The sequence below is a fragment of the Homo sapiens genome, chromosome 8, assembly GCF_000001405.40.
Source record: "Homo sapiens chromosome 8, GRCh38.p14 Primary Assembly".
Taxonomy (NCBI): domain Eukaryota; kingdom Metazoa; phylum Chordata; class Mammalia; order Primates; family Hominidae; genus Homo; species Homo sapiens.
Window position 1 is genome coordinate 61446701 of NC_000008.11, and position 25516 is coordinate 61472216.

At 40.0% G+C, this 25516-nt stretch overlaps 1 protein-coding gene across 4 annotated transcripts in view, besides 1 other annotated feature; it reads left to right on the forward strand.

Annotated features, from left to right (window-relative positions):
- CLVS1 (clavesin 1) overlaps positions 1-25516 on the forward strand; it is a 536782-nt gene that overhangs the window by 481853 nt on the left and 29413 nt on the right. For all 4 annotated transcript variants that reach the window (XM_024447079.2, XM_017013141.2, XM_017013142.3 and 1 more), the window contains 2 exons: positions 7441-7551; positions 11607-11842. In XM_024447079.2, the coding sequence (XP_024302847.1) occupies positions 7441-7551; positions 11607-11842 (347 nt within the window). The remainder of the gene's footprint in view (positions 1-7440; positions 7552-11606; positions 11843-25516) is intronic.
- Positions 22030-22324: an enhancer, noted in NCBI's record as "tiled region #11405; K562 Activating DNase unmatched - State 12:CtcfO". NCBI's record gives its function as "activates a minimal TATA promoter and a strong SV40 promoter by Sharpr-MPRA in K562 cells {active_cell/tissue: K562}" and the evidence as "EXISTENCE:reporter gene assay evidence [ECO:0000049][PMID:27701403]".

Genomic DNA, 25516 nt, shown 5'->3' on the forward strand with positions numbered 1-25516 from the left:
CCTCTCGGTACTGCCACATTAAGGAGTAAGTTTCAACATGAGTTTCAAGGGAGAAAAAAACATTCAAACCATAGTGCTTTACTTTCATTTTCATTCAGTTCCATGTATTTTAAAATTTCTTTTGAAGGTTTTTTTTTTTTTTGGCCCATCCATGGGTTATTTAGAACTGTGTTGTGTAGTTTCCAAGTGATCAAAGATTTTCCTCTTATCTATTATTGATTTCTAGTTTGATTCCATTATAAACAGAATAATCTGTATTATTTCACTGGTTTTAAATTTGTTGAGGTTTGTTTTATGACTTAGGTATTGTTTATCTTTGTGTATGTTCTATGTGCACTTGAAAAACAAAGTATATTCTTCTGTTTTGGGGTGAAGTATCTTATAAATATCAATTGACTTCTGCTGATTAATGATGTTGAGTTCTTCTATATCCTTGCTGATTTTCTGTCTAAAAGATTATCAGTTGTTGAGAGAGTGATATTCAAGTCCCCAACAATAATTGTGGATTTGTCTATTTCTTTTTCCAGTTCTACTAGCTTTTGCTTTGCATATGTTGCAGCCTATATATTTATATTTGGAGTGAGTTTCTTATGGACAGCATATATAGCAGATCATGTTTTTTAATTTACTATGCTAATCTCTTTTAATTGGTATACTTAGATCATTTATATTTAAATTAATTATTGTTATGTTAGAGCTTAAGTATGCCATTCTAATTTTTTTTTCTATTTGTTCTTTCTGTTCTGCCTTTCTCTATTTTGTCTTTCCTGCCTTCTTCTGGGTTACTTGTACTTCCTTTTCAAATTGTTTTTATTTATCTATAGTATTATTAAATATATCTTTTCATGTAGTTTTTTTAGTGATTGTTCTAGGTATTATGTCATGCATTCATAACTTATAGTCTTTTATGTTGTCATTTCACCAGTTCAAGTGAAGTATGGAAAACTTACCATCCCTTTTTCCTCACTAATTTATAATATAATTGTCTTAAATATTTCCTCCCCTACATACATCTTTGAACCACATCAGAGTATCATAATTTTTACTTCAACTATCAAAGACAATTTAGAAAACTCAAGAGGAAAAGAAAAACCCATAGTACTTACCTATAGTTTTCTTACTGTATTCTTCCTTCCTGATGATTCGAAAATTCTCTTATCATTTCCTTTCTGTTTGTGGAAAGGTTATTTTATAATTTCCTTCCTGTTTAGGAGAACTGAGCTATGCTTTTAGAATAAATCTACTGGCAACAAATTTGCTTAGTTTTCCTTAACCTGAGAATTTCTTGATTTCTCTTGATTCTTGAAGAGCATTTTTACTAGAATTCTGGGTTGACAGTTCCTTTTTTTCAGTACCTGAAAAATATTTTACATCTTCTTCTGGCTTCCATGGTGTCTAATGAGAAATCTGTTGTTATTTCATTTGTTTTCCTCAAGAGTCAATATATTGTTTTTTTTTCTGTATACCTTCAATATTCTGTCTTGAGCTTTCAAAAATATAATTATGATATGTCTTGGCATCAATTTATTTGAGTTCATACTGTTTGGTATTCACTCAGCTTCTTGAATCTGTAGGTTTATGTTTCTTTCTAAATTATGGAAGTTTTCAGCCATTATTTTCTTAAGTACTTTTCCAGCCTCGATCTCTCTCCTTCCTTTTAAGGACTCCAATGACACAAATTTTAGATTTTTTTGTTATAGACCCCAAAAAGGAAGGTTTCTTCATTCATTTAGTCTATTTTCTCTCTGTAGTTCAGGTTAAGTAATTCCTATTTTTTTCTATCTTTCAGTTCACTGATTCTTTCTTCTGTCACTTCTTTTCTGATGTTCAGCCCATCTGCTAAGCTTTTTATTGGACTTTTTAAGTTATTTTTCAGTTTGAAATTTCCAGATGAGCCAGGCACAGTGGCTCATGCCTGTAATCCCAGGAATTTGGGAGGCTGAGGCAAAAGGATCACTTGAGGCCGGGAGTCTGAGACCAGCCTGGGCAACATAGTGAGACCCTCTCTCTCAAAAAAAAAAAAAATCCATATGGTTCTTTTTTCTATTTTATATTTATTTGCTATCAATTCCTATTTCCTTTCTAAAACTACTTTTTCATCTGCATCATACATGTTCATAATTGCTGTTGAAACATTGTTCGTGATGGCTAAATTAAAATCTTTGTCAGATAATGCTAACACCTCTGTCATCTGGTGTTGTCCTCTATTGACTGTCATTTTTTATTTAATTTGAGATCTTTCTGATTCTTGGTATAAAGAGTGATTTTTTAAAATCTGGACATTTCTGTATTATGTCCTGAAACTCTGGATCTAATGTAAACCTTTTGTTTTAGCTGGCTTTTTTTTTTGACACCACTCTGGCAGTGAAAGTGGGGTGTGCTGCCTCATCATTACCAAGTAGAGGTAGAAGTCCATGTTCCTCACTCAGCCTCTGTTGACACCCAAGTAGGGAGGGCCTCCTCATTACTGGTGGGCAGGAGTGGGAGTTCTGGCTCCCCACATGGTCTCCACTGACACTGTGGTGGTAGTGGTTTCATTAACACTGGACAATGATTAAAGTCTTGACTGTCAATTAGTCCCCTTCCAACACCATCAGTGGAGAAAGGGAAGGGATTCTCATTACTGACAGGTGGGGGAGGAAGTCCAGTTTACCCACATGGTCTCCACTGACACTGCCAGTGTGAAATAGGGTCTCATTATTGGCTAGGAAGAATAAAAGTTCTGGCTCTCTACTTGGCCTTCTATAACATTACTCTGGCAGGGATGTTATGCATCTTGTTACAGCCTTGCTAGGGTGAAGATCAGGCTGCCCACTCAGACTTTGCTAGCATGGTTAGGAAGGGACCACAGTTTTTTCCTGTGATGTTTGACTGGCATAGAGCAGCTACTATCTAAATATTATCTATTTTGCTAGACTGCCTGTTACTAGTCATTTCATTAAAGAGCAGCCTTTTTTTTAGTTGCTTTTTATTGATTTATTTGTTGTCTGCACCAGTTGGTTTTTCCAGGTACTGCCTTCTTCTGTCCCAAGACTTTGATACATAGAGCTAAATAAAAGGAATTCTGGGAAACTCTCTATTGTGTCCTTCCTTGATCTCAGAGTCCCTAGCTGATTTGTCTTCTTCTCTCCACCTTTGAAGTCTTCATATGTTTATTTTATACACACTATCCAGGTCTTAGTTGTACTTAGCCAAAGAAATAGGGGAATGTATGACTACTTCATCTTTGCACAAGGAGGAAATTAATAATCATATTTTATGAGAAAATCTTGAAATACACTTGGGACCTTCAGTTACCACTGTACATGCAGAACTCCATTGTTGCAGCAGAAGAGTGGCTGTGAGACCCCTCAAGAGGACACCTTTTTGCTAGATCATGGTATTATGCTCTCATCTCAGAGGCTCTATGGGAAGAGTGATGTGTTTTAAATTTGAAAACATAAAACATTAGAAGAAGAGAATGAAGCAGCCTTAAATGGAGTCTAAAAATTGAGTAAAGTTGGGCTGCACCACCTAACTGAGGGTAAACTTACCACAACTCTTCCTTTGCTGTGGCATTTGAGACTATGAATTAAATGGAACTTTGAATCAAATAATAAGTTTTTTAAAAAGCAAAAAAAACTTATGCTTATCTAAGGTTTACAGGCTTCATTTTTTTGAGAGGTTGCAACTTTACATAAAATGAAATCACCATAAAATGATATTGCCATAAAATGAAAGCTACTAACCTCAGCAGTGTAGGATGTGAGTAGAACTGGTTAGAGAAGGCAAGAAAGGGGATAAAAATCACAGAGGGCCCTGGTCACTAAAGTACACTTTAAAGAATATGCCAACTGTTCGTCATGTAGTAGATACTCATAAATATGTGCTGAATTGAAGACGTGCAAGACGTGAACTAATTGTTAAGGCAAGAATTGAATACACTAAACATATCATTATATAATTGCTGTTTTCAGTTGTCCCCACTGCCCTGAAGACTCTATATTTGTATTTTTCAATGCATTAAGTGAGACATACTGTAGGCCATCAAAAATAGTTATTACATTCAATTAAAAAATGATCACATTTAAAAAGGACAGAAAAAAAGAGAAGTGAAGGTTTGGCAGAGTTTGGGTAATTATTACTGCTATTCACCAATACTTTTGGTCCTTTTCTTACTGGAAACATGGTAGATTTTACTTTCTGATCCCCTGGAAGCCAGGCATGAGTTTGACCTTTAAAATACGGCAGATGAAGCATGTCACTTTCGGAGCCAGCTTTAAGAGCTTAGGTATGATTCTTCCATGTGGTTTTCCTGGGCTATGTCAAGCAGCACTGCTCCAGATGGAGGAGGCTGCATCTCTGGCTGCAGGCAAATCAAGCAGGGCAGGACATTTAGTGTGAGCAGGAAATTAATCAGGAAAGACAAAAATCAAGCAAGACATTTAATGTTAACAAAGAATCAATCTTTACTGTTTAAAATGATTAAAAAAAAAGCAGGGGTTATTTGTTACTATAACATTACATAACCCATCCTGAATAATAGAAAATAGTAAGAGTGTGTCTTTGGCAGTAGGATTATAGGGGCTTTTTCTTTTCTTTTTTCTTATCTTCTCATATTTTGTATTTTTTCAAATAATGTTTTTATCTATTTTTTACTTTTGTAGAATGTGTATAGTTTATAATAAGGAAACAAAATTAACTTAAACTGGGGGGCAGACACATTTTTATGATTTGAATATGTTTAAAATTTAAAATGATGTTATATTTTATTGACAAAGGTATAAATGTACAGGATTAATGCCATTTTCTTGAACTTAGAGTATGTTGGTGCATGATGCTCTTTAGTCTCCAAGAACACTGAAAGACAAAGTGTTACACTGTCATTGAACCAAGGCCTATGATCTTGAGATACATCTGCTCTAGCCCTTAAGAAATGCTCTTCCAGGAGGGCGGTAGGCCTCTTGGGGTTCTGGGAGACTTTTGTGTGACTGACAACTTCCCTTTTGTCTGCAGTTGGCGGATGTGATCAGGCAAGAGGCAACCAATAATGATGTGTTGACCATGAGAGGGGTGTGTTTGCTGATTTTCCCTTCCCTCACCTTCCCCTCTGTACAAAACACACACACACACAGAGAGAGAGAGAGAGAGAGAGAGAGAGAGAGAGAACAGAGAGTAGCATGGCTGGGCTCATTCAAGAAGACCCAGAACATCTGCACATTGCCTTTATCAGACAGAAGGCCTTTCATGTGACTTGTATAGGAAGTACCTGAATAAAAATGATTCTGTTTCTATTCTGGTGCAAGCTCAGAACTTCTAGACACAGGGTTCACATGTGTTTGTCTGCACATATTCACTGGATGACTTGAGTCAGATCAATGAAAGCCCATGCCTTCAATCTGGCAGAATCATCAACCAGGGATAATATAGAGAGTAATTACAGAGTCTCAGCACTGTAATTTTTCTTTCAACCTCCCCTGACACAATCAGAAGATAGTTTTTGATGTCTTTGATGATTGAGGCTTCATAAACTAAAACTAAGAATGTCTAGATATTTTAAAAGGTTAATATTTTGCAACTTTGCCTACTGTCAAGTATTATTTAGAGTTCCACTTCAGTAACCTAGAACTATATAACACACCATCAATAGAAATAAACCTCTTATTGGTCCCATTAAAAAGATAGTGAAGCCCTGGTTTTATAAATAAATGCTTGTTTCTTATTCTTCTTCTGTCACCCCTCAGAACCACATTTAGTATGTGAAATAATGAATTCTACTTCTAAATAAGAAGTTAAAAGGAGCCAAAAGAAGTGATGATAGTGAATAGCGCTTATTATAAAGGAAACACTTTCGGGAATGGTCTCTTTTTTTAAGGAACCAAAAAACTTTTAGATCCTAAACTATACCTGGAGGAAAAAAGATAACCTTATTAAGAATCTTTACATTTCTTCAATTAGTTTTGGAATAGCAAGTTAGTGTAAATGATCTCTCTAGCCCTACACTTGTTCTGTTAAGTTTTTGAAAATAAAAGAAACAAAACAAAACATATATACATATTCTGAAGGCAAAGGCCTTTTACTGATATTGTCCAGTTTAGCCTTCAAAATATTTAGCACCTTTCTACTCTAAAATGTCTAGGTAGAGGAAAAAATTATTTTTAAAGTTTTTCAAATGGCAACCCTTAAGTGCAGTTTCATGTACTCACACTGGAAACTAGGTCTTGGCATGGAAGATGCCTGGGGATCCTGTAGACTCAAAGGGCTCTGAAAAAAAGTTAATAACCTTTTTTCCTTGTTACTAAAAACGACCCGGGTGAGGCATCTCATATACCCGCAGGGAGCAGCTCGCTGCTGAACCATTTCCTCCGCCAGCCAGACTCCCTCGGCTTTCATCTCATCTTGCTAACATTTTTTTTTTTATTATACTTTAAGTTTTAGGGTACATACAAAGATGTTTGTGGCAATGAAATTGATAGCAAACTTGACGATTCATACAGCGTTTAGAGATTCCTTCTTTTTTAATTCTATTAACTGAGATGAACCCAATCTGCTGAAGCCATTCATTGGGAGATCTCGGGACCTGGTCTTATAAGACTAGCTCAGACTTTCTGGCCATGGTCCCCTGTTCTGTAGATCTAATTAGCACCGAGAGCAGCTTCCTAGCATCTAAAACATAAGCTGATCTGGATTCTAATGCCCTGATCTGGATTCTAAATTTGGAATCGTTTTTCTTAAATGCTCTTACTTCCTATTATTTACGAAATAGGTTGATCTGCAGAAAAGGGTGCTCATATTCCCTCAACTAGCGGAATCAGCTAGCCCATTAATCAACAAGTATCTTTTCCCTAGGATCTACTATGTGCCCCAGGGTGCACTGGAGCTAGTACTGCAATGTGTGAAAAAGTTGTTATAACCTTGTTAGCATTTGGTTGATTCCACAGAGCTCCATCTCCTAAGAGCCTTTGAAATCCTTTTGCAACTACTTCCTACACAGCCAGCACTCACTCACCCAGAAAGTTCAGTTACTGTCATGATTAAGCCGGTGGAGAGGGTGGGAGCGGGAGAGTGGAAATGAGGATAAAGAGAGAGATCTTGTGCTGAGAGCCTGTAAGCCTTCGTTACCTAACGCAATGAAGAATTCAGATTCCCCTCACTCCTCAGGCTGCATGAGCTTCTGTGCCAAGTAGAAGGTCATGTAACTGTGATTTGAAAAAGACAGGCCTGGAACCCATGCACAATTTTAAAGTTATGCATGGAGTCAAAGGGAGAGAAGGGAGACAAGGGGAATAAAGACATCCTTAACAATTAGGAAGTGAGTGTGTTTTCTTCCTCTCCTCATCCTGAAGCTAGAGCTTCTACCAGGCAGGAAAAACAGGTTGTTCTTTGGGGCATTGGTCCTGCTGGTCCAGTCTAACAAGGTGTGCTTACTAATCGGTGTGCATTTCTCTCTTTCTGCCCCAGGACAGCTTTCCTGCCCGCTTTGGAGGAGTCCACTTTGTCAACCAGCCCTGGTACATTCATGCCCTCTACACACTCATCAAGCCATTTCTTAAAGACAAGACCAGGAAACGGGTAATGAAAACAAATGCATCATGTAAATTCCTGGTACAATTTTGGTGCTTCTATTTTCTCTCTCCCCTCCTCTCTCCTTTCCCCCCTTTTTCTCTCTTTCTCTCTTTATCTTTCACTGTGGTTTTTCTACAGCCCCTAAGCATTTAAGCCTCAGCTGGAGTTTGCAAATGGCCTGGGTTTAATTAATAATTCAGTAGAACTGGGTTATTTTCGGAGTCCCAGTGACAAACCAAAAGAAACTTTGAAGGCATGCAAATACCAGATGCCCATGTTACTGTAAATTCTTATGGGAGATACTGGGTCCAGCAGCTTTCCTGTTCATAAAATGTTTTAGTAGCTAGCATTTTGTTCTGCAAATGTATTAGTGCTATGAAGAATGATTACAATTTTTCTTCCTCCCATAACTTTGGGTGATAACTGCTAACTGCATCACCTGTAAAGCTGGAAAAGCATTCTTCTTTGGAAATAACACTGCTCTTATGAGGAAGGCTTTTACAGCCTTAATTATATCAATTGATAACACTTGGGAAGCCAGCTTTTTCCATCAATCAGAGTTGGGCTTTTTCATGGCATTTTGATGAGCTGAGTAACTGAACATTCCTTAACCACTCTGAATCTCAATTTTCTCATTTATAAATTGCGGAATCTAACACCCACATCACAGAGTTGTTGGGGAAATCTAATGAGACAGCTAATGAAAACATGTATCATGATGCAGTTGGTACATCATGAGACTTGTTGACTTTTATTTATCTTTACCATTTAGCTCTCTTTTCTTTTTTTCCCAGTGTTATTAAGGTATAATTGACAACTAAATATTGGATATATTTAAGGTGTTCAATGTGATGTTTTTATATACCTATGCATTGTGAAATGATTACCACAATCAAGCTATTAACACATCTATCACCTCCTATAATTATGATTTGTGTGTGTGTGTGTGTGTGTGTGTGTGTGTGGTGAGAACACTTAAGATCTACTCAGCCAATTTCAAATAAACAATACAATATTATTACTTATTACAGTATCCATACTGTACATTAGGTCTCCAAAATCTATTCTCATCCTATATAACTGAAACTTTGTCCTCTTTTTCCAGTGTCTCTCCATTTCCCCCTACTCTCAGCTCCTGGCAACCACCCTTCTATTCTATACTTCTATGATTTCAACTTATTTAGATTCCACATATAAGTGTGATCATGCAGTATTTGTTTTTCTGTGTCTGGCTTATTTTTGTTAATATAATTGTTCTTTAGGTTCATCCACATTGTTGAAAATGACAGGATTTCATTCTTCTTTAAGACTGCATAGTATTCCTCTCGGTATATATCCATTTATCTGTTAATGGACACTTAGGTTGTATCCATATCTTGGCTATTATGAATAATGCTACAGTCTTATCTTTGAGACTTTCTATTTTCAGCTACCTCCTGGGTCAGGAACACCACTCCTTATGGGAACCTGGCTAGGGTAATCCTACAACACCTTTTCCTGACACCCAGGGTGCCTGACACTAGGGAATAGCTCTGAGTATTCAGGAGGGACTGATAATGTGAGGGATTCCCCGCCACCTCCCACACTCTGCAGGGTTTCTAACTCCTAGATCTCAGATGCTTCCAGGTCCTTTAGAGAGCATTGCAATGGGGTAGAGCAGGGGTAATTTCCCTGTTCTCAAACAAGTTTGAAACCAGGAATTAGAACTCACTGGGATCACAAGACAGAAATGTTTTAAAACCCATCTGGGGCTCAGGACAGTGCTAAGAACAGAGAAGTGTTCTAGGACTGTTCTCAACATGGCTTCAGGCTTTCCAGCAACTTATTCTTCTATTCAGGTTGGAGCGAGAGAGAATTCCTCCCACGGTGGACACTTGCTGCCATGCCATAGGTGGGCATTTTTGGAGCTTTGGGCACAGGATAGATTCTAAGAGGTAGAGGGTCCAGCCTCCTCCTTCTGCATTCCTCCATTCCACAAGACCCCCAGAAGGGAAGGTCACCTTTAATGGCACTCTTTGTCTTTCAAAAACTGGACATGTTGGGTGGAGGGGTACAAATGTTTTCTCTAAACACCAGGGCTGATATTTCGCTCCAGCATGTTTCATATACAAACCCTCTGAAAAGTTTTATAAAAGCCAGAAAAGTGACTTTCTTCAAAAGAAATAATTCTTATTAAAATTCAGTCATACTCAAGTGCAATATCAGAAATTTTGATATTTTGATATACTTTCTGAAGTTCTCCAGTAGTTTTCTGAAGAATTAGCACTTCTTGTCCCCTTCATCTTTAAATGATGTCATTACATCATGAGTTAAAATCAATACAATAGAACAAGGTAGCAAGTGTTTATTATTGAGGTCCTCTATGTAAGTATTTTAAAAATCACATATAGGCTGGGCGCGGTGGCTCACGCCTGTAATCCCAGCACTTTGGGAGGCCGAGGCATGCGGATCACGAGGTCAGGAGATCGAGACCATCCTGGCTATCACGGTGAAACCCCGTCTGTACTAAAAAATACAAAAAAATTAGCTGGGCGTGGTGGCAGGTGCCTGTAATCCCAGCTACTGAGGAGGCTGAGGCAGGAGAACGGCATGAACCTGGGAGGGGGAGCTTGCAGTGAGCCGAGATTGCACCACTGCACTCCAGCTTGGGCAACAGAGCAAGACTCCGTCTCAAAAAAAAAAAAAAATACATATAGATTTTTTTTTTCCCGAGTTGGAGTCTTGTTCTGTTGCCCAGGCTGGAGTGCAGTGGCGTGATCTCAGCCCACTGCAACCTCCGCCTCCTGGGTTCAAGTGATTCTCCTTCTCCAGCCTCCTGAGTAGCTGGGATTACAGGCGTGCCCCACCATGCCCAGCTAATTTTGTATTTTTAGTAGAGACAGGGTTTCAACATGTTGGCCAGGCTGGTCTCGAACTCCTGACCTCAGGTGATCTGCCCTCCTCAGCCTCTCAAAGTGCTGGGATTACAGGCACAAGCCACTGCACGTGGCCCACGTTTATATTTCATCATGGTTATACTGTATGTATATGTGCATGCATGTGTGTATACCTGATGATCCTATACTTGGGTGCACCTTATGTGTTACACATAATTACTTTATGCCTGCAACATGAAGAAGTGTGGGAACTGACATCAGTACATGGATGGACTTTAAGTCACCTTTCAGAGTCAACTCCTAAATTGTAGTCAGTGCTAATTATCTATTCATGTCTCATCCACTTTGTAGATTTGTCTGGAAATAATTGTAACTTGGAGGTGTGCCTTCTCTCCTGCTTGACCAGTTTTTATCACTATGTCCCCAATCCAGACAAAAATGGAAAATTGCAGCAAAAATATCTCACGATAACTTCTCAGGCTGTGGTTTTTGATTCCATTAAATAAGAATTGATTTTCTTCTACCTTGTGCCCACATCACCCTAGGAGCTAAGAAGCATTTTAAAGGAGTAAGAAAACACCAACTTTTTCTCTAGATATTTTCCCCCGTGGGGAAACAAGACGTAAATGAACATATCAGAAAAACAAACAAACAAACAAAAACAGAAGTCGGCAGTCAGCAGATACTGAAGAATTAATTAGAGGGTGGTTGGAAAGAAGCAGAATAGGCAGTTATCACCAGGGCGAATTAGGAAGAAGCTGCAACTTTGTCTAGGCCAGGGAAGGGGGGAAGGATCTGGAGGACTGGGTGAGAGCACACAGATGGGAGAGCAGAGCAGTCTGGAGATCCAGCAATAGCTGGGGTTTCAGGTGGTCTGCACCATCACTCCTTTTACCAGCAGGGATAATTAGGAGATGACTGTATGTGTAAATTTGGCCCACAGCCAAGTAATGCTCAATCTGTTCATAAACTTCATTTTTAATGACTATTAATTCAGCCCCTTTTCTAAGCAATAAATTAACATTTTATGAAGACTAAGCTACAGTCACAAAATCAATGCCTCTTTAAACACTGTGATCACCAGCAGTGCATCCAATTTGTCATGGCTAAATTGTGTATTAGATGAAATCTTTGGTCGTATGTTTTGGATTTTGTATTGCTAATTACTTTTTGTTTTCTTTACAGATTTTCCTGCATGGAAACAATTTAAACAGCCTTCACCAGCTAATACACCCTGAATTTTTGCCCTCTGAATTTGGAGGAACTCTTCCTCCTTATGACATGGGAACTTGGGCCCGGACGTTACTCGGTCCCGACTACAGCGATGAAAATGACTATACTCACACATCCTATAATGCAATGCACGTGAAGCATACGTCCTCGAATCTGGAGAGAGAATGCTCACCCAAGCTGATGAAAAGGTAAGGCCTGGGTTATCAGAGCCCCCCCCCCAGTCAGAGGTCAATGGAATTTTTTATTTGGACCTATTGTGAATTATTAATTAAAGACCTTTATGGGCAGAGAACTTGAATAAAATAAATTGCAATGCATTCTCAGCTGATTTCACTAAAACTGAAAACAAATGGGGCTTGGCTGGCCCAGCACTATAGTTGTCCCCATTGTATCAAAGGAATAGTTAAAGGCTAGGACTTCACTCATGCCACAATTATAGCCCTGGTCTTCAGGGTGTTTGTTAATACACACAGAATAAAATGTTGGACCTTTGAGATACACTAGGTGGAAAAACAACCTGCTAAAAAATGTTCCTATCATTCATTTATTTGGAACCATTTATTGAGAATTTACTGGGCTGCAGCACTGATTAGGGACAAGAGGTACAAATGAGAATAAGATGTCAAAAGAACAGAGAAGTATGCCTCAGGGAATCTTCCAAGTAAGACTTTTGCAGCATATTTATAAAGCAGGCGACATTCAGTCTGAGCTCTGGAGACCAGCAACCGAGGCTTGGGAAATGGCATATAGCAATCCAAGCAGAGTGGACAGACTGAGGCATGTAGGTATTAGAGTGATGGAATAATCTAGTGTGGTAAAAAGGCGTGCAAGGGTGGGAGATGGGACTGGACATGAAATAAAGCTCCAAAAACAGTTGGATCCAAGTGGTGAAGACCATTGCATACTGTAGTCAATGGAGTGCCATAAAAGAGGGATTAAAAAGATTGATAAATGAGTATTTTCTCATTATAAAAATTAAAACCTGATTTTTAAAATTTTATTTTATTTTTCCATAAGTTATTGGGGTACAGGTGGTATTCAGTTACATGGGTGAGCTCTTTAGTGGTGATTTGTGAGATCCTGGTGCACCCGTCATCCGAGCAGTATACACTGCACCATATATGTTGTCTTTTATCCCTCGCCCCCCTCCTACTCTTCCCCCCAAGTCCCCAAAGTCCATTGTATTCTTACATCTTTGCATCCTTATAGCTTAGCTCACCCATCGGTGAGAACATAAGATGTGAAACCTGATTTTTTAAGACTAAAATCCCCTTCAGCCACTATTCTCAATCTCAGTCTCAATCCCATTTCCTCCCAAATGGTAACCACTGTAGAGGTGGGCCCTTGTAATTCTGTTTTCCATACATCACATACATCTATACACACCCATAAAAAACATCTAATATTGTATAATTTCTAGGGCTGCTGTAATAAGTTACTACAGACTGGGTGGTTTAAACAACAGAAATTTATTTTCTTACAGTTCTGAAGGTTGGAAGGGCAAGATCAAGGTGTTGGCAAGGTTGGTTTCTCCTGAGGCCTCTCTCCTTGGCTTGCACATGGCTGCCTTCTCCATGCGTCCTTACACGGTTTTCCTTCTGTGTGTGTCTGCCTCTATCCTAACCTCCTTTTCTTATAAGGACACCAGTCGTATTGAATTATGACCCACCCATAGAACCTCGTTTTACCTTAATTGCTTCTTTAAAAGTCATATATCCAAATATAGTCATATTCTGAGGTACTTCAACATATGAACTTGGGGATGAGGAAGACTTCAGCCCATAGCATATTGTTATGAAACGTTTTTCCACGTCAGTATATTTAGACATATGAAGAGGCTTGAAAATATTTGTGGAAAAATAAGATTAAAGATAAAAATTCAAAATATAAACTTATATAGCTCAAGGACATCAGTTCATATATGTGTGTATACATATTAAGTATATATACAAACACCTTATTTTTCAGCCTAAGTTCCATCAAGTTCAAGACAGTTTTGTGAGTGACAATACCAGCCATTTAGTTTATCCCTAAATAACTGAGGGTCCTAGGAACTTAGCCATGTCAATGTAGTCTTTTTTACATTAGATGAACAAAAATGGATGCCCTTGAAATATTACTAAGATTAGAAAACAAAAAGAAGTCAGAAGGAGCCAAATCAGGACTGAAAGGTAGTTGCCTAATAATTTCCTATTGAAACTCTCATAAAATTGCCCATGTTTGATGAGAGAAGTGAGCAGGAACATTGTCATGGTGCAGAAGGACTCTCTGGGAAAGATTTCCCAGGAATTTTTCAGCTAAAGCTTTGGCTAACTTTCTCAAAACACTCTCATGATAAGCAGATATTGTTGTTCTTTGGCCCTTCAGAAAGTCAGCAAGCAAAATGCTTGGACCAGCCCAAAGAACTGTTGCCAAGACCTTTGCTCTTGACTGGCCCACTTTTGCTTTGACTAGAGCACTGCCACCTCTTGGTAACCATTGCTTTGCCTGTGCTTTGATTTCAGGATTGCACTGGTAAAACCGTTTCATCTCCTATTACAGTTCTTCAAAGAAATGCTTCAGAATCTTGATCCCACATGTTTAAAATTTCCATCGAAAGTTCTGCTCTTGTCTGTTCCTGATTTGAGCACAATGGTTTTGGCACCCAAGTGGAAAGTTTGCTCAACTTTAATTTTTCAGTCAGAATTGTGTAAGCTGAACCAGTTGAGGTGTCTGTGGTGTTGGCTATTGTTTGTGCTGTTAGTGGTTGGTCCATGAACAAGATAAATTAGGGCATGAACAAGACAAATTTTTTCCTGGCAAAATGATGTAAAATTGACATGAATTGATGTCCACAACTGAGGGCTTCACCATCAACATTGTCTTGTCCCTTCCTAAAATGAGTTATCCAATTGGAAACTGCTGATTTCTTTGGGGTATTGTCCCCATTAACTTTTTGTAAAGCATCAGTGATTTCACAATGTTTTTACTCAACCTTCACCATAAATTTGATGTTTGTTCTTGCTTCAATTTTAGCAGAACTCATGTTGCTCTGATAGAGGTTCTTGTCAAACCTGATGTTTCTGATGTCTTATCTTCTTAGTGCCTCAAACTAGATTGTGTTCAGACATGCTATAACAAGTTAGCACAAGTTTATTTTGGTACAAAAATTTTTTGAACTCCATGCATAATTTTTTATAATATGCGTTTTCCATGAACTTTGTGAAGACCCCTCATAGACCATGTGTTTAATACTGCATGCCATTTTAGAACATGGATATACCACAGTTTATCCATCTCCTCATTGCTTTGCATTTGGGTTTTTGAGGTTTTCCTTTTCTAAACAAGATTCAATAAATGTCTTTGGTATACCTCCTTCATTTTCTTAGGAAGGTTCCTCTGAGTAGACTCAGAACCCTGTAGTTGGTGGGTATGTGCCTTTAAAGTTTTAGTTCACACTGTTCAAAAGCCCTCCAAATGACACCAATTGATACTCCCAGCTGTCTATGAGAACCTTCTTCTCCATACCCTGGAAAAATGCTTGATATGACCAGACTTTAATTTTAATGATAATCTTATGATGGGAAAACGCCATGTCATTTTGTTTTCATCTTTATTTCCTCAACATTCATAGTTAAGCAGAGAAATGACATAATAAGATCTGGGTTTTATAAGGATCATGGGATTAGCGAGGAAATGGTTTGTGCATCAGAGACTAAAAGCCACTAGAAGGCTGATGCAGAGACTTAGTTGGGAAGATGAGAGCCAGAACTAATGCCAAATCAGAGGAAAACTGGCTCTATCCTATAGATGTTTGGCTATGGAAAAGGAGGAGTAACATTCATGACGGTTGGGCTCAACTTCTTCCAAAGTCCTGTTAATGTGGATATTTTGACCTCCTCCCATGAATCTTGAATGTTCTAGAATGGCATCCAGAATGGTGAATCCTTTCCAAGAAGTTTTCAATTTACTTTGTCCAGATCCATCAGACAAATCACTATCTATGGTAGCTATAGTCTTATGAAATGTTTTTGTTTGTTTGTTTGTTTTGTTTTGTTTTGTTTTTTTGAGACTGGAGTCTTGCTCTGTCACACAGGCTGGAGTGCAATGGCATGATCTCATCTCACTGCAACCTCTGCCTCCCACGTTCAAGCAATTCTCATGCCTCAGCCTCCTGAGCTGAAATGTATTTCTTAAGTAATAAGATGTGAAAGTCATGGACTGCAGAATGGATGTTGTGCTGGGCATGAAAACAACCTTCACCTCCTTGTACATATCCACCAGAGCTCTTGGGTAACCAGGAGCACTGTCAATAAGCACTAATATTTTGAAAGGGATCTTTTTTTCTGAGCAGTAAGTCTCGTCAGTAGACTTAAAATACTCTGTAAACCGTGCTATAAACAGATATACTGTCATTCAAGCTTCATTGTTCTATTTATAGTGCACAGGGAGAGTAGATTTAACATAATTCTTAAAGGTCCTAGGATGTTTAGAATGGTAAATGAGCATTGGCTTCAACCTAAAGTCACCAGCTGCATTAGCGCCTAACAAGAAAGTCAGCCTGTCCTTTGAGGCTTTGAATCCAGGCTTTGACTCTCCTCTCTAGTTATGAAAGTCCTAGATGGAAGAAGTCTATTCTTCCAATAGAAGGCTGTTTTGTCATTGGAAATCTGTTGTTTAGTGTAGCCAGCTTCATCAATGATCTTTCCTAGATCTTCTGGATAGCTTGCTTCATCTTCTATATCATCACTTGCTGCTTTACTTTGCACTTTTATGTTGTGGAGACAGTTTCTTTCCTTAAGCCTCATGAACCAACCTCTGCTAGCTTCCAATTTTTCTTCTACAGCTTCCTCACCTCTCTCAACCTTCATGAAATTGAAGAGAGTTAGGATCTTGCTCTGAATTAGGCTTTGGCTTAAGGAAATGTTGCGGCTGGTTTGATCATCTATTCAGACCTCTAAAACTTTCTCCATATCAGCAATAAGGTTGTTGCACTTTCTTAGCATTTGTGTGTTCACTGAAGTAGCACTTTTAATGCTCCTTTGCATTCACAACTTGGTTAACTGTTTCATGCAAGAGGCCTAGCTTTCAGACTTTCTGAGCTTTCAGTGTGCCTTCCTCCCCAAGCTTAATCATGTCTAGCTTTTGGTTTAAAATGAGAGACGTGCAACTCTTCCTTTCACTTAAACACTTAGAAGCCATTGTAAGGTTATTAATTAACCTAGTTGCAATACTGTTGTGTCTCAAGGAATAGCGAGGCCCAAGAAGAAGGAGAAAAATGAGAGAACATTTGATCTGTGAAGCAGTCAGAAAACACACACCATTTATCAATTAAGTATATTGTCTTATAGGAGCACATTTCACGGTACCCCCAAAACAATTACAATAGTAACATCACAAATTTTTTTATCACAGATCACCATAGCAGATATAAGAATAATAAAAAGTTTGGGCCGGGTGCAGTGGCTCAAGCCTGTAATCCTACCACTTTGGGAGACCGAGGCAGGAGAATTGTCTGAGCTCGGGAGTTCAAGATCATCCTGGGCAACATGGTGAAACCCCGTATCTACTAAAAAAATACAAAAAAAAATTAGCCAGGTTTTGCGGTGGGTGCCTATAGTCCTAGCTACTCAGGAGGCTGAGGTAGGAGAATTGCTTGAACCTGGGCGGGTGGAGGTTGTAGCAATGAGTCAAGATCACGCCACTGACTGCACTACTGCACTCCAGCCTGGGCAACAAAGCGAGACTCTGTCTCAAAAAAAAAAAAAAAAAATTTGAAATATTGTGAGAATAACCAAAATGTAATACAGAGACACAAAGTGAGTCATGCTGTTGGAAAAATGGTGCCAATAGACTTGCTGAATGCAACATTACCACAAGCCTTCAAGGTGTACAAAGTACAATATCTGCAAAGGGCAATGACGTGAAGCACAGTAAAACAAAGTATGCCTATATGTGAATGAATTAATATTAATGTTGAATGAATATTATTAGCTCCAAAACCCATCCGTGGTACACTTGTCTAATTGCTTCAAAACTGATTAGTTGGCTTTCAGATAGAAAGAGCCAATTCCTCCCCCAACCCCCTGTCTTTAACAAGGCTCTCATGGTTCTTGCTTGTAGAATCTTTCATCCAGGTAGGAAAGAGAAAACGTGCCCCAAATAACTATAATGTAGAATGTGAGAGGCACTACAAAGGAGGAGCAAGATGCTGCTACAGCGTTCTGAGGAAGAATCACTAATTTTGTCCAGGAAGACTCTCAGAGAAGCCTCCATGTGGAAGGTTTGGCTGACCCAGGGTTTGGAGGAGTATTGCATTTCATTACATACGGGAGCCAAAATTCAAGACTAGCTAGCAGGAGAAGCTAGCAAGTGTGCACACACTTCATTTTCCCCACCATGGCCACAAGGATGTCCTGCCCACTGCTGCTGCCCTTTGTGATGACTTCCTTGAACGCTTGTCCGGAGATTTCAGGCAGTGGCAGGATGGGCAGAGACTGGAGAGGAGGGATCAGCCCTGCTGTTGGCGTATATCTCCTGTAAGGCACCTCACTGATGAGGAACAGAGCAGCCACTATTCACTGTCTTTTTGACCACTCAGAACCCACATGGATGTGCAAAAATTGGGAACAGAATTGGAAGAGACCTTACAGGTCATCTCTTCCAGTCTCTCACCTGACAGAGAGGTCTGTTCTCCAGCACAGAACATCAACCAGCCTCCGCTTGCACCGTCTAGAGACAGGCAGGCACCTTTCTGGGCAGCGTGTTCCCTGTGGTGTGGCCTTGTTAAAAAGCACTTGCTTATTCTGAGTAAGATGACATAGGTCTGCCCTCTGAACAGCACTGTAATCTCCAGTAGGTTCACATCATCTATTTTCATAACCCCGTTACCCGACCCCCATAGTTCCCTACATGCTTCAGGTCCATTTGGATTCAAGTGGGCTTTGTGCACCGACCTTGGGACCCAATCACTTTTCGTAATCTGGCTTTTGGGCACAGATGGCCACTGTGTTCCAAAGCACTCTCGACCCATGCTTTCTGGTATCCACGTAGAGTAAAAGCCAAGACTCCCGGAACTCTCAGTGAATGACTGGTTCTAATGAGCTCTTGTTTTTTTTCTTTGGATAATTGTAGCTCAACCCTTATGTAGAAAAAACAAAATAATGATTGGTTTAGCTGGAAATTCCTCTAAATGAATTATTTCAATATTGTTCTGCTCTTTAATACAATAATGCCATGGTGGGCTTTTGAGGTGTGTGGCATTCTCTGCTCTGGTACTAAATGACCCTGAGTTTTATATTTTTAACTTTTTATTCCTGTTTTTTCTTGTTGTTGTTATTGTTGTTTGGGACAGAGTCTCGTTCTGTTGCCAGGCTGGAGAGCAGTGGTATGATCTCGGCTCACTGCAATCTCCGCCTCCCGGGTTCAACTGACCCTCCTGCCTCAGCCTCCCAAGTAGCTGGGACTACAGGTATGCACCACCACGCCCAGCTAATTTTTTTGTATTTTTAATAGAGACAGGGTTTCACCATGTTGACCAGGATGGTCTCGATCTCTTGACTCTCATGATCCACCTGCCACAGTCTCCCAAAGTGCTGGGATTACAGGCGTGAGCCACCATGCCTGGCCTTATTCCTTATTTTATTTTATTTTTCAGAAGTCCACTTCTTTGCTCCCACATCATCAGCTGTTTTCTGTTCTTAGGAGTGTATGTGTGAAGCACCTCACTTTCTCCTACCTAATTTACTCCTTGAATATGTTTTAGGCTTGGAGAATAGGTAACCCAACATTAAAACTGTCCAACAAAGAATAGTAAATAAGCTTTGTATTAGTTATGATTATTTTCACTGCAAGAAAGAAGAAAACCCAAATGAACTGCTTTAAACTATGAGGAAAATGCATTATTTCACAGGAGACATCTTGAAGACAGGTGACTGCAGGAGTGTTATTCTAGGGACTCAGTAATGGCCACAAGAACCAGGTTCTCTCCACTGTGTCCAGCACAACTGGAGACTTCTCAGGCAGGGGCTGATTTCTGACTCTCACAGGAGATCATAATGCCTAAATGAAAGGAGTTTTGTTGGAGAAAAAGGAAGAAAGAGTGGCTTAGGGCTGGAAACCAACAGTCCTGCTACACACAGGCTTATTCAGGGGTGTAGGCCGGAAATTTCTGCCAGGAAATTTCTGCATTATTTTTTAATCAGCATGTAGAGTTTGTGACCTTTAATTGTTAGGCCATATAAAGCAATTACTTTCTGGTTCTTGCCTTTATTGCTGATAAAGTAATTAAAATGGCTATAGATATTATTGTTATTTTATTATTATTTTTTTGAGATGGAGTTTTGCTCTTGTTGCCCAGGCTGGAGTGCAGTGGCACGATCTCAGCTCACTGCAACCTCCACCTCCCGGGTTCAAGTGATTCTGCTGCCTCAGCCTCCCGAGTAGCTGGGATTACAGGTGCCCACCACCACACTCAGCTAATTTTTTGTATTTTTAGTAGAGATGGGGTTTCACCATGCTGGCCAAGCTGGTCTCGAACTCCTGATCTCAGGTGATCCACCTGCCTCAGCCTCCTAAAGTGCTGGGATTATAGGTGTGAGCCACCGCACCTGGCCTATAGATATTATTTAAAAGGCACGTGTGCACACACAGAAACACTATCATGATGTAACTACTGGTGAAGGATGAGCCACTTTGAGAGGTCTTCAAATATATGTATCTGTATGTATACACACAGATATACATGTACATATATATATAATTGTTAAAAGATTACTGGTGATAAACCTCATGTAAATTTTGTCCTGTGATTTTGATTGAGGGTAAGAAACTTCAGCCATTCCCTGGAGCTGAATCCATCTAAATGCAGATTGATCCAAAGGTAGAGAGTTCTGGGGACAGTGCTCATTAGATGCAACACGCAGAAGGATAAGTGATGGCGGGTGCCCTTGCAGCAGGTTAGATATCACAATTGTTCTCAGACGCGTCCTTTCATTTGTTTCATTTATTCTTAGCCAGTCCTGACAGCGGCTATTAACAATGGACCTGATGATCTCAAGGAAACAAAGAGCATCTTTCCCGGTATTTCTTGGCAAAAATAAAAGGGGGGACTCTGAAAAGCCAGGCTTTGTCCTGCCTCTGAACCCATCACCATGGCCAGGGAGAGGGTGCGTTTGATTTCCAGGAATGAGAAGTGTGTTCATTCTGGTGGACAGGCACGGGTACAAATCCTGGACGAAACAGGATTATTATAGGAAGGGGCAGTGGTTTCCCAAAGAAGAGGTACGGACCATATCGAAACTGTATATCCCCACCATACAGGAATGGCAGGTAGTTCCTGCCATGGCCAGCAGGGGGAGAAAGTGGGGATTTTAGGCTGTCCTCTCATTGAGCTTGAATGGGTTCATCTTGGCTGTACCACATTGCAGAAGCCTCTGTTTGCAGGGTAAACATTCTCCACAAAAAGTTTATATAGAATACATTTTATTATTCTTCTTATTAGCGGCTTTTGAAAGTTTAGATCTGGAGGAAGTCCTTAGATGTCATTTAGGGATCGTCAGACTTTCCACCACTAAGGACCTCTTCTGTCCCCCACAGGGTATGTGTGTGCAGTGAAAGACGCTGGCTACCGAAAACATTGCATTTGTTAAATAATCACAAATTCAGTGTAATCAGTGTTAATTCACAGAATTATCCTAAGATACTGAATTTTAATAAACACAAACATATTTTAGATTTAATTTAAATTTTAATCTCAGAGAGGGTAAATGTGAAATTTCTATAAAGTTTTATGGAATATTAACAACAATGTAAAACAAACCTTTTGCTCATTACTGCTTATGTGAAATGGCTGGGATGAAAGCTCAAGGCCCCCAACTTTGAGTCTTGGGGATTTTTCTGTGCTGTTTGCTTTTCCAAAAGCCTAGTGTCTTGCACGTAGCATATGTTCCTTACATAGCTAATATTTTAGTTTAAAAAATATAAGTGTATGGTGCATAGATGTGTCCTTTTCACAGTGGTACTAAGATTTTAAAAAATGTTTGTTTGTTGTTTCTCTCATTATCATAGCTAAGGTACTGAGAAGTTCTACAAGGAAAAAAGCTGCATCGCCAAACATATCTTGTCCTAGGATTCTTTTTGGGTAGAACAGCTGTTAGCATCTCACTGCACATTTGTCTCTCAGAGACTAGAGTATAGAAAATGCTACTCCAGTGATTGAAATGGAAAGTTAGGAGCAATTTAAGTTCATGGAACCTAACTAAGCTGAATCTTGACTGACAATTTTTATCCTCTTTGTTTCCTGGAGGCCCCTCCCTGGTGCAAAATCATCTGCATTTCAACCTGAGCTCAGTCTGATATCCCAGCCATATAAGTAAAAGTACTAAAAAAAAAAAAAAAAAAAAAAAGGTAGTTACTATGTGCTATTTCAGCCTCATTCAGCTCATGGACTTACCAAATAAACATTCATGTCTCAGCACTGAAAGAGAAACTCACAGTCTGATGACAGTGGAGCCACCGCTTATCGGAATTCCAGAAACTACCAGGGGCAGAAAAGCACATGTTAGCTTCCCTTTTGTGGCCAGTGAGCTGAATGGAGCGATACCACACCCCACGAGGTGCTGCCCTCTGCCTGTGACACAGCAGCACAGCCACCCAGGCCAAACAGTCTGAGGAAAAGCAGAGGTGGAGTGACCTCGAAGAATCATGCAGAGGTCTTCTAATGTGGGCAGAATCCCAGGAGAGAGCAATGGCCAGCCTATCCTGGCCATGACCACTCAACAAATATTTACTGAGCATTTTCTCTGGGCTGAGATCACAGGCTCCTGTGTTTCATGGAATCAAAAGACCAGTGTCAGCAAAGCACCTCCATGCAAAAAGTGACAATATTACACCATCTGTGCAGATCACAAACATAACATTTTAGTTATTAATTCTGCGCTGACTTCCTAAATTGGCATGACATATGCCATAGAAGACCTACTTCTGATTCTTATGGCCAAATACCTTCATCCTTATGTTCTGTAAATACCCCTCCTAGATCCCGCATGGAAGAATTGAGATGTCATAATGACACGGTGAGCCATCTGATCTTGGGGGTGGGTGGCAGGCTGAGAATGCCCGGATTAAATTCAAATTTCTGAGCCAGAAGGAAATTTTAGGCCATGTTTCCCCACTTGGCCCCTGCCTGGGTAGTAAAAGTCACCTTAACTGTTTTCAGCTGTCAATAGAATTAGCTGTGACCTTGGTGATCTTTGAGCATGTTGTCCTCTTTTTATAGGGTGAATTTGTGCATTTGCTGGATAACTACTCATTTCCAGCAGAGGTAATACATCATCATGAAATACCATCTATATGAAAAGAATAAGGGTTGGCAGTGTGGGAACAGGAGGACCGTTGTCTTCTGAGCAGCCAGGGCAAGGAGTCTATTTTACTTCATGGCTTGGGAACAGATGTTCCATATGGCTGTTCCATTCAACAACACTATATAATGCATCATTTCTTAATGAATGATCCGCAGTCTCCACTGTCCTCTAAATTGCCTTTGTCTGATGTCCAAATTAAATGTGATTGAACTTCTTAGTTTTGGCGTCTCACTGCTACTCAAGCAGCTAATGCCTGAGATGTATCATCACTTCTAGAAGCAAATACTTCTAAGGTAAGCCATAAATTCCCAGTGTTTAATGCTGGTTATTGGATACTGGAGTGTTCCACAGATGCCAATAGGAATTTGTTAACATTTCTTAAAGATTGAAGAAAAATAGCTGCATAGCCTCACCATTACTTGTACATCTGGCCGAGATAGATGTCCTGCTTACATACAGCTTTCTTTTCTGTGGCATAAATGAAAGGACCATCTCCTTACAAGCACAACCTGTACAGCTGTGTAACATTGGAGTGAAAGAAAATCTATATAATGAATTTAGTTAATAAGAGAATGAATGGGGCTAGTTAAAATGTTGGGTACAGGGGCATGTTTTCTCTTAAAGAATGATGTGAAAAATTATTAGATAAAGAGTTCTAAGCTACTGGCAGACAAAAGAAATAGAGTTGAATTAGAAGGAAATGAACGGATGTGAATAAACTGCCTGGTGTAGTTTCAAAAATGAACTGTTTGATTACTCACTGTGTTATGTTCTGAAAAACATGCCTGTTTGCTGAAGCACCATGCTCAGATGCAATTATTTGGAAAGGGAGATATAGCCTAGGCAAGAATGACAAGGAATATTTATTTCTTGTGACATATTGCTGTTGGTAGACAACCATTCTGCCCAATTCCAATTAAGCTGATGCTGTTTGTGCCTAACATCTAGCCAGCAATGAATCTGTCTTAGGAGCCGTAATGAGCATATGAATGAAAACAAATATTTGACATAATATATGGTAGAAGTCTCTCTGCAATATTTTCTTAAAAACACTGTGCAGCTTGCATACCATGGTTGAATTTCTTTTTAGGTTTAGGCAAACTTTGTTGTAGATATCAGCTGAGCTTAAGATGTTCAAATGGTGGTATTAGAGTTTTATATCAAGCCCATAAATGAGCATTGCGGAGCTTCGAGCATTTCATTGGAAACTCCTTCACAGCCCCACTTAGAACGCACCTCTCAGGGTTCCTGTTGTCATGGTGATCAGCACCAACAAGCGCCCTCACTGTGCACTGTGGCTGTTCATGATAGGCCTCCAGGGCTCCACGTACACAGCCCAGCATCCTGATCTTGCTGGCTTGTTTCAGCCTTGTGACTTTGAGGCCATGATTACACTGGTCTTTTCCTTTCTATGTGTCTTCATTTTCCTATCTGGTCATTTTCTTATACTGGTTATTTATAATACCTTGGGCAGGCCATGTAACCTTGCTGAGTCTCAGCTTCCTTGACTACAGAGTGGATGTAACATGTGCAAGAGCTCCCGGCTTGCTGTTAGGGTCAGAAGGCAGCAGAGTGAGAAAGTCAACTGCAGAGCACCACAGAAAAACAGCATGATGGCTATTACCTTTCTTTCCTTCCCAGCGTTGTGTAGAAGGCTTGCCATTTTGTCACGGTTTTGATTTCTTTCCAAATAAAAGTTTTCTCACTAAAAATGAAAAATCCTAACTCCCTAGTAGAGAAGCAGGTAATGATTATGCATGGTGGCTTGAAAGGAGGGGCCTTGAGTTCCTGATTAGAAGTCAGACTTATACTGCCTCTTTCCCTCTTCTTTGCCTTAGTTTTTGCATAGGGTCAATACAAGGCTTTTGTACCCTTGGAGCCCTGCACCCAGAGCATGGCCAAGCACGTTGGGAGCGGGCCACAGAAAGCAAAGCCAAGAAGAGGGAGGAATTAGCAGCACAGCACCCCTACCTCCCTTCCTCCTGGTCAGCCAAGAGGGCTTTGTGGTTACAGGAGCCCTCATTCCCCACTTGCCAGTCCCCTCCCAGTCTGAGCCTGCCCCCTGGCCTGGAGGACAATTACATTTTTGTTGGGTCTTTATTAGTGTTGCTCCTTTTGCTCCAGCCCTCAAATCTAAACTGTTATCCCTGTGGTCTTGAGTGTAATTTTTGAAGTCATAATGATGCTTCTCCGCCTAACTCCCTCCAAAGCCTTCCCCTGGCCTCCTGCAGGCCCCTCCCGGGCACACACAGCCCCCATCACACTGGCTTCCATCCACTCCTTCTGCATCCCAGGGCTTGTACTTGCTCCAGGACAGCCCTGCTCCAGCATGCTCCTCCCCTTGCTCAAGTCAGCTCCTCATTCATTGGGTGCAGTTTATACCTCCACTCCTCTCAAGGGCGCTTGTCCCCCTCCCCATGCCCCTCTCTTCCCATCTGCTAGTCTCTATCACTGAATTCTGTTTCTGTCTTAACAGGGACCACAATTCTATAATTATGTATTTATTGGTTTACCTATGTA